The following is a 10,031-nucleotide window of genomic DNA, read 5'->3' on the forward strand; positions in this document are numbered from 1 at the left end:
AGGCTGAACTGCTTTCAGCTTTTTCCTCACCACCACCTTATACCTGCCCTCCTCTTTGCCTGGAATGCTCCTCTCCTCTCTCTTCTCGAGACCAACCCCCAGACCCTCCTGAAATATTCTTCCAGTGTGCAAGGTCCCTCCTCTGCACCACCCCAGAGCCCTCGTCCACCGCAAGTACAGTGTCTGCCACACTTCCTTGCCATTGTGAATCCAGCTCTCTTCCACAGACCACATGCTGCTGGAGAGCACCTCCATGCCCTTGACATCCAGTAGAGCCAGTCAAAGTCAGTTCTCAAGGCATGTTTTGTAAATATTGAGTGACTCTCTCAAATAATTATTTATTTTGCATCTTTGTTAAACACACTATTTTAAAGATGACCCTAAGGTGGAAAAAACTGGAAGGAAGGGGCATGGCACATAACTCAGGGGTCCCCCCAACACGTACCCTGAACCTTAATGGCCTTCCCCAGAACTCTAACACTCAGACATCACTTTCCCCAGGAAAGACCTGTATGCAAAGCCCTGCTGTGTGACTTAGACCAAGCATATGCCCTCTCTGTGCCTCTACTTCCTCTTCTGAAAATGGGATGTTGGGGTATTACAGGAAGATGATATTTTGCAGAGTACTTTCAAAGAATCTTCAGTTAGCTTGCCACGGCATGGAAAAAGTATGCTGTTATCATTTCTGCCTGCCTTCTGGGGAATTTAGGCTGCCCATTACCCTACTCCCCATTCTCTTATCCTTAAATCTCTCTCTCTCACTTACTCTCTCTCTCTGTCTCTCCTGGTTCCTTCCCATCAGCATTTAAACTGGCTCTCTAAATTCTTTCATCTTACAAGTAAGATCCCACTTCCCTCTCCAAGTACTGTCTCGTCTTTCCTCTTTCCACAGCCAAACTCACGCCAAGAGTTGTCCCCATTCCCTGCCTCTCCTTCCCTGGCTCTCACTCATCCCTCTTCCTTGCAATCTGGCATCCGCCTCCACCACTCCCCTGAAAAGCCTTTAAATGCTAAACACACCCGTGACCTCTAAGATGCTCAATCCACAGGACACGTTTGAGCCCTGATCTGACTTGTCTTCTCACTGCATTTGGACATTCAGCCGCCTGTCCTCTCTCGGCATCAGGGATTTCCAGCCTTCCTGGATTTCTGCAGGCTGCATGTTCATGGCTGGCTCTCAGCTTCCTCTGCCCACTTTCCACACTGCCCAACTTTGGATGCTGGAGTTGCTCAAGGCTCAGTTCTGGGTCCTTTGCTTTCTCATGTCTCTCTCTGCCTCCTCAGTTGTATATCCTTCTCTGCTGATTGCCGTTACTACCAATATGGCCACGAATCCCAAATCCACATCTCCAGCCCAGATTCTCCAATTCCAGACTCATGGATCCATCTTCATGTCTTCCGAGAAGCTCAGATTCAAAACTGACCTCAGGATAAACTCTTTGCTATGGTCTAAATGTGGTGTCTCTCAAATATTCATGTGTTGGAACCTAATCCCCAGTGTAATAGTATTAAGAGATGGGGCCTTTGGGAAGTGATTAAATCATGAGGGCTCCACCTTCACAAATGGGATTAGTGCCCTTGGGAGCTGGCTTGCCCCTTTCACCACGTGAGGATGGAGAAGGTACCATCTCTGGCGAGCAGGCCCTCACCAGACACTGAATCTGCTGGCATCTTGATCTTGGATTTCCAGCCTCCAGAACTGTGAGCAATGAATTTCTTTTGTTTATAAATTACCCAGGCTAAGGTATTTTGTTGTAGCAACAGAAATGGACTAAGACACTCTTCTTCCCCATGTTCCCTACCTCAGCCACTCTTACCAGAACTCTGTGAGTCTTCCTTTATATCTTCCTCCCCTCTCTCCTGCCTGCCTCAAATCCGCCTCCATTTGCTCATTCTCCTCCTGAAGATCCCTCCTGTCTCAATTCTCTGCTGCTACCACCTTTGTCTGAGCACCTGCATCTCAACCAGACAGTGAAACCCCCAGACCCCACCATGTGCTCTCTGGTCCTCTTCCATATATTCTTCTCATAGGAGCACAGTATTCTTAAAAAACTTGGAGTGTGACAGTCTAACATATCATTCTCCTGCTCCAAACCTCTCACGATTTCACATCTTCCAAGCCCCAAATTCTCACCACGTTCACAAGACCCTGAGGTCTGGCTCCCGTGGCTCTCTCCTGTGCCCCTCTTTCCTCACTTTCATTGCTCTCTGCCCTTCAGTCACTCCAGCCTGCCTTCATTGCCTTGGATGTGCACATTTTTTGCCTCTTGACTCTTTTTTTTTTTTTCACATGCTGTTTCCTCTGCCTGGGGCACTCTTGCTGCTTCTTCACCTAGCTAACTTCCACTCACCCTGGAAGACTTGACTTAAATTTCAAGCCTCCAGAAAGCCATCCCCCAGGGGGATGTCCTCCTTCCCATTATTTGTCACAGCATAACACTTACATTTCCTGCTAGAATGTATATCCCTTGAAGTGACTACAATATGAAGTGACTGCAATACACTTGCTCAATGAATACAACTGATGGAGTTCAGGGTAGTTAAACAACTTGCTTGAGGTCGCACAGCTCATTAGCAGCAGGTCTCATCTTAAACCCTTTTAGACTATTTTTCATGCCTCTGCCATGGGGCACCACCACACACAAATTCTTATCAAAACAGTAACCACACTTTATTGTAGCTGTGTGTTCAATGGCCCGTCTTCCCCACTAAGCAGTAAGCTTCTAAAGCAGAGGCCATGCTGTCTTGTTTATTCTTGTGTCCCTCACTTTTAGCTATGCGTCTGGAGTGTTCTGGGGATGGAGAACTATGAATGCTTGTTGATGGACTCTCTGGTGATGAGTCCCCCAGATTTGTTTCCAGGTCTGACTTCCTAACAAGCACCAATCTTATTCATTAGCCCAGCTATGGATTGTGTTTCCTTTGAATTTTCATTCAAAGTTAACTCTTTGGAAGTAACTTTTATTAAAAAAAGAACAAATCAGTGAATAATGGAGGGAAGCACACAGGAAATAAGACAAAAAGCGTAAAACACAAGATGCTAGAAAAGGTTGAGGCACAGAAGTTCAGCTCCATATAGAATCTGTGCCAAGGCCGGATGCGGTGGCTCACGCCTGTAATCCCAGCACTCTGGGAGGCCAAGGCAGGTGGATCATCTGAGGTCAGGAGTTCAAGACCTGTCTGGCCAAGATGGTGAAACCCATCTCTACTAAAAATACAAAAATAGCCAAGCCCCTGTAATCCCAGCTACTCAGGAGGCTGAGGCAGGAGAACCCTTGAACCTGGGAGTGGGAGGTTGCAGTGAGCCAAGATCTCACCACTGCACTCCAGCCTGGTTGACAAGAGAGAGACTCCATCAAACAAAAAAAAAAAAAAAAAAAAAGAATCTGTGCCAAGTTATCCACAAGTCACTGTCCCCCACCCAATTCTGCCCTTTTGGTTCTTGAGCCAATCTCCCACCTCCGACTCCCAACCCTCCTACCCCATTCTCTGAGCTCAGTCCTGGTTAGGTGATACTTCCTACTCTTTGGAAGGCTTCTTTGGGCAAACTCACTTCCTATTCATGCCCTAGTTGGCAAATCTGGGAAAATACTTCTAAAAGGCTTGGGGTCTGTCTTAGTCTGTTTTGTGTTGCTGTAACAGAATACCACAGACTGGATAATTTGTTTTAAAAAGAAACTTATTTTTCACAGTTCTGGAGGATGGTAAGTCCAATACCAGGGTGCCAGTATCTCTTGAGGCCCTCTTGCTGCGTCATCCCATACTGGAAAGCAAGAGGTTGAAAGAGGCCAAGAGAGATTGAACTTGAAGCCTCAAGCCCTTATATAATAAGCATGAATCCATTTATGAGGGCAGAGCACTCATGACCTAAACACCTCCCATTAGGCCCCATTTCCCAACACTATTGCATTGGGGACTAAATTTCCAAGACATGCTTTTTGGGGGACACATGTAAACCATAGCACATCAATGATGGGGAAACAAAGGCCCAGTGAGAGTTAGAAATGGACAATGGAGTTCTGTGTTTATCCCACAGACATGGGTTATGCTAGTGCTGGCTGAGCCTGTCTGCACTTTCCCCCAGAGAGCTATGTGACCTTGACTGGGCTATTTACACCCCTCTGGATATGGAAGGAGAGGAGCAGAGGGCTCGAGGCTGGACTGCTGGGGAGTGAGGGTGGTGGCGGCTGAACTGACTGGGAAGGAAGCTGGCAAGACTGAGGCTGAACTCAGGAGGAAGGGCGGGACAAGGGGGCCAAGGCTGGACAAGAACAGCAGGTTCTTGTCAAACACACAGTTTAATTCTGAGGCTGTATTCCTTGTGCCTGGGAGATTTTCAGCTTGCAATAGTGTCATTTACAGATGGATTTGCAGCGGCGAATTACAAGTTTGTAAGCAACAGCTTCTCTGACGCCTTGAAGAAAAAAAAGCCTTATCCCTCTGCAAATTATAAATTCATAACTAACAGTGTTATCCAACTGAATGCAAAACAAATTCATTACCAACTACATTATTCCATTGAATACCAAGTGAATGAACTTCACAGGGCTTTGTGCAGATCGGGGACATGTTGGGAGATGGGAACGAAACAGCACTCCCCCACTTGCCTCTCCTTTGTGTCCTTTCAGGCCCAGAAGGTGGGCAGAACTGGACAGATGTACACTGCTTGAATTAAAAGGTCACTCGAAGTTATGATGGCGATGGTGGCGATGGTGATGATGATGGTGCTGGTGGTGTACCAAAACCAATGACCACACTGCGATTGTGTGTGTACCTCTTATATGATTATTAGGATTGCTGTGGTGACATCTTAAGACACTATCTTGTGAAGGCTTACATGCCTAAGTCCCTGTGACTCGCAGGACACCCCTGAAAAGGGGGATCACCTCCTGTCGTTCACCATGCAGGAAGATGTGGGTCCTCTGAGCTTCTCATCAGAGTGAGAAGATGGGGCTAAATTTAGGCATTCGAGCAGGGATTCCCTGTGTCTCCTCAGGACGTTGCTCTCTTGGGATCAGGCTTCAAAGTGCTGAGACATCTAGATAGAAGCTTCTGGGTGCTGGGTATCAAGACAGTGCCCACAGTGTGCAAACAGCCTGGGGTCTATGGGAGAGGACATAGGCCACATTTTGTAACCCAGATTCTTCACTTCCCTCTGACTTTATGATGTATTCCCCATTTGTGGTCCCTGATATTTACTATTTTTCTTTTCTGTCTCTTTTAGAAAATTAGAAGATACAAATAAAACTAACAAATATATAAGTCATCCCTAATTTTTTTTCCACCAGAAAGAACCACTTTGGGGTGGATCAGACCTGAAACTTGGCCCCTTTTCCAATTCTCACAGAAAAATCCTTCATTCAGAAACTCTGAGCATTCAGTAGACTTGACTGAAAATTTGATATGGGGGAAAAGAAGAAATGGTTCATACTGTAGCCACACAAACAACTTTAATTATTTATTTATATTTTTTGTAGAGACGGGGGTCTCATTATGTTTCCCAGGCTAGTCTTGAACTCTTTGTCTAAAGCAATCCTCCCTCCTCGGCCTCCCAAAGTGGTGAGATTACAGGCGTGAGCTCTGGGGCCCGGCCACAAAAGCAACTTTGGAGAAAGAGCAATGATCTGGGAAATTAAAAGGCCTTCCCCCACTCCCCACCTCACTAGGCATTTTTCTTGGCATCTGCACCATCTCCTCCATGCTAACTTCTTTGGCTCTCCCTTCTCCTCTGATCATCTCACCTTTCTCTGCCATCTTCCTCAGGAGCAAAAGGAATTCCTCTCCTTGTCTCATGCTGAGTGGTTTGCAATCACTGTATGTCTAGATAGTTTACCAAAGTTTTTTTTTTTTCCCAAAGACAGTTTTCCATCTAAGAAGAATTTTGATGCCAGGTGTGAAAATATTTTCATCTTGTTTCGTGAAGACATTACACTTTTAGAACTAGAGGATAATTTTATAAATGCTGATATGAAACCTGCTTTTGCTTATAACAATATAGAGTCAGCATATTTTTATGTCAATAGGCAAATCTATATTTTCTGTTTTAATGGCTGCATATTAATCCATATAGTTTCTTTAAACAATCTCTTTTTTTGCTATACATTTAGGCTGTTTCCAATGATTGTTATTATAACATCCACACATCATCTTTGCAAATTTATCTAATTATTGCCTTATGATAACTTCTTAGAAGTAAGATTTCTGAGAATGCACTTTTCAAAGATTTTTCTTGTATTGTTCAGCTACTCTTCAGGAAGTTCGTGCCAGTTTATACTCTCATCAGTTGTTTAATATTATTGTCCCACTTACTATGAATGCTCTAGCTCTATCTCAGCTGTGCCTTGAGGTGTTAAAGAAAGAGCTCCTAGGGCCAGTTTGGTGGCAACAGTAGCCAATTAGTGTGAGATTATCCAAAGGATACAGAATCCCAGGGAGCAAGAATGGGGGCCGTGAGGTCCAGCTGTTTCACTCTATGTAGGTTCTTTTATGGCCTCTCTTGAAGGATTTGAAATTGATTGCTTGATTGATTTTATGAAGGAACACATTATTTCCCTCCAAATGATGGTGGTGGCGATGAGTGCATGGTCATGATGATACCAATGTGTGGTCATGACAGTGTGATATTGATGAGGGTATGGACAATGGTAGTAACAGGTTAACAGTGGTTCTGACGGTGAGTGCAGTGCCAATGATGGAGATGGTGGTGGTGCTGGTGTTGACAATAGGATGGCAGTTATGGTGGTGGTAGTGGTGACAATGTTGGTGATGATGACTTATGATGGTGGTAAGAATGGTGATGGTAACTGTGGTGGTAATAGTGAGTTCAGCACTGATAAGGGAGATGGTGGTGGTGGTACTGACAGTAGGGTGGTAGGAATGGTGGTTGTGGTCACAGCTATGTTGTGATGGTGGTTAAGAAGGTGGTGAGAATGGTGTTGACAGTTGGTGATGGTAGAAATGGTGGTGTGGCATTGACTGTGGGATGGTGGTGACAATGGTGAGAAGATGTGACAGTGGTGAGGGGCAGCGTGATAGAAGGGGGATGGTGGTGGTTCACGATAGTGGTGAGTGGAGTTGGTGCTGATGGGAAGCCTGGTGCTGATGGTAGTGCTGGGGTGTTGTGGAAACAGAAAGGTGAAAGTGCATAGATGATGGTGAAGGAATGCAATACAGGATTAAAATAGATACAAAGGGAGAGAGAGGTTGTCTTAGGAATGTGAATAAAGGAAGCAGCATATTCTAGACCTAGAACAGTGAGGAGACCCACTGGCCAGAGGGGATGGTGGGGGAGACGTGCAGCAGGAGTGGGTGCTGGGAAGAGTCCTGGAAGTAGTGAGAAGAATGTGGACTCCAGGAGGGCAGCACGGGGAGGCATTCTGGGTCCTGGGAGGGATAGGTCAGAGCCGATTGGCCTGCTAGAGAAGAAAAGTGGATGAGGAGCCAGCTGTTGGCCCTCATGCTGGCCTCAAATGGAGGCAGAAGGTAGGCTAGGCCCTCTCCAGTGCAGGCAAGTGTCCCAGGCATGCTGGCAGCATGGAGGAAGCGGGTGTGAAGGGCCTTCAGTAGCTGAGCCAACCTTAGAATGCATGGGCATGGGGAGAGGTAAAATACCCTGTGCTCTTGTACCAGCTGTACCTGGCAGCTCCTACTCTCACCTTTGCTTGAGAGGGAGAAGGGTCTGAAGCAGGGACCCAGAGCTCCAGCTCCCTTCTCTCCCCCGGCTCCCTGCCTCTCAACAGCTCCCTGAATCTCCAGTAGGCAGTTTTTGTTCACTAGAATTGCCTGGATTCAGAGCTCCTTCCCCACCTTTCCAGGTATAGCATGAAGCTGTTTGGTGTGTATACAAAGCTGCAGGATTCACTCTTCCGGGGCACAGATGCCTGAGAAACTTCAGAGAGGCAGAAGGCGTGAGTCTGAGCAGCCATCATCTGGGCATCAAGGGGTTAACCCATCCCTGAGGGCTGGGCCAGGTCTTTTCCTCGGACTGGGCCCCGCCCTCCGGTTCCTCCATAGAAGCCACTGGAGTCAACTAGGAGCTCACTTTGTGGGAGGGAGAAACGTTTTTTTCTCTTATTTGAATGGTGCTGGTGACCTCACAAGGTTTCCATGGTGACAAGACCAAGGGAGCCAGGGGGCCTTGGTGAATTAGGCCAAACAAACCCACCTCCAAGAGTCTTCTCCCAGACTCCAGCCTTGAGGATGAGGACTCCAGGTAATCAGTGAGCTTGCTGAAGAGGGAAGGTTGGGGGCTGGGGACATGCCAGGCCAGGACCTGCAACAGAAACCGCCGCCCCACCTTTCCTTTCTGTGCCCCACCCCATCCTGCCTAAAAAGTTGCTTTCCATGAGGGCTTGGTGCTGAGTGTGGCCCCCACAGGGATGTCTGTGTGGTCACAGAGTACCTGTGGGAGGGCAATTCTGACCCCAAGGTAGGAAGCAGTGATCCGGTAATTCCAGGCACCAAGGCAGATAAAAAGACCAAGGTAGGTGAACAGCAGAGTAGAGGCCTGGGTGTGAAAGGAGAAAGCCATGAGCATCTGGTTGGGAGTGGGAGCCCTGCTCTCTGAAGCTTGACTTTCTCAGGAGCAGCTGGGGGCTGGAGCTTGGGAACACAGGATCATGGGATCCAAGTGACCAGGGTTTGAAACCAGGCATAAATAATGCCTGCACTCTATGGTTGTGGCCTACATGGGACATCACAGGGAAAGCACCGAGTAGGTGCTCAATATGTGTTTGTTTCCTCCCTCCTTCCCTTCCTCTCCTCTCCACCACTCAACAGCCACAGCCTCCTCAAGAAGTTTGAAGTCTGCATTGAACTCATTAATTTCCAGCTTTTGGCCGGGCGTGGTGGCTCATGACTATAATTCCAGCACTTTAGGAGGCCAAGGTGGGCGGATCACCTGAGGTCAGGAGTTTGTGACCAGCCTCACCTACATGGTAAAGCCTCGTCTCTATAAAAATACAAAAATTAGGCGGGCATGGTGGTGGCCACCTGTTATCCCAGATTCTTGGGAGGCTGAGGCATGAGAATTGCTTGAACTTGGGAGGTGGATGTTGCAGTGAGTGGAGAACATGCCACTGTGCTCCAGCCAGGGCAACAGAGCGAGACTCCGTCTCAAAAAGAAAAAAAAATTCCAGCTTTCAATTATTTGATCCTCACATAATTCAATGTCTAAAATATTGTACTCCTACATATTGTCCTAAAATTCTACCATGGAAGCTCCAACCATTGCTTTGCATGAAATCTCCTTGTAAATGGCAACATCTTATCTGGAAGTAATTGTCTTTTCCCTGGACAGGGGCAGTTGTATGAGTGGGTGGGGAGCAAATGGGGTGGGGTGGGGTGGGAGGGTAGACGGGGGGAATGAGTGATGTCTTGTTTGTTTGATTTTTGTTTTTTCTTTTTCTTTTTCTTTCTTCTCTTCTCTTCTCTCCTTTCCTCTTCTCTCCTCTCCTCTCCTCCTCTCTTCTCTTCTTCTCTTTTCTTCTCATGCAGATGGGGCCCATGAGTGAGGAGGACAAGAGAGAAAGGAGAAGTTTGGGTGTAAATCCCAGAGATTGTTCATCATGTGAGAGGAGCCGTGCATGCATTTCATGCCATACTCACACCATGGATGGAGAAAAAAAATCAAGCTTCACTTTCTGAGAATGGCCCTGGGGGCACTGCATCTAGTGCCTGTGCATCTGCAGACCTGCCGGATGCCTCCAGGGGAATCATGCCACCCCAAGCAAGAAAGGGCCCAGTTGCCAGGAGCCTGGAGGCAGAGAGCTGAGGAGCCAGCCCCTGACATCAGAATGGAGCTCAAAGGTTGGCTGGGTGTGACTCTGCCGTGGACAGCTTCTCTTGGGAAATCTACTTTAATGAATCCAGGGGACCAATTTGTAATCAGCCCATCAGATGTTCAGCGACACTTAGCTGGAATCTCGTTGCTGGACTCTGTGCCCCGCAGTGGATGACAGTTCTCCATCAGGGTCTGCAGTCCTCTACCCTGGACTTGCTGCATCCTGGAGCCCCCAGCAGTCAGGTACCGG

The 10,031-nt window shown here is 47.3% G+C and overlaps 1 long non-coding RNA gene across 2 annotated transcripts; it reads left to right on the top strand.

The window, feature by feature from the left end:
* Positions 1 to 8,111: 8,111 nt before the first annotated feature.
* Positions 8,112 to 9,828, top strand: INSYN1-AS1 (INSYN1 antisense RNA 1). 2 transcript variants are annotated; one of them, NR_120353.1, is made up of 3 exons: positions 8,112 to 8,212; positions 8,779 to 8,886; positions 9,496 to 9,828. It is a non-coding gene; the product is annotated as an INSYN1 antisense RNA 1 (long non-coding RNA). The 2 variants fall into 2 exon arrangements; NR_120352.1 differs by lacking the exon at positions 8,112 to 8,212 and adding an exon at positions 8,240 to 8,482.
* The last annotated feature ends 203 nt before the right edge of the window (positions 9,829 to 10,031 follow it).

Source organism: Homo sapiens, chromosome 15, assembly GCF_000001405.40.
Source record: "Homo sapiens chromosome 15, GRCh38.p14 Primary Assembly".
Taxonomy (NCBI): domain Eukaryota; kingdom Metazoa; phylum Chordata; class Mammalia; order Primates; family Hominidae; genus Homo; species Homo sapiens.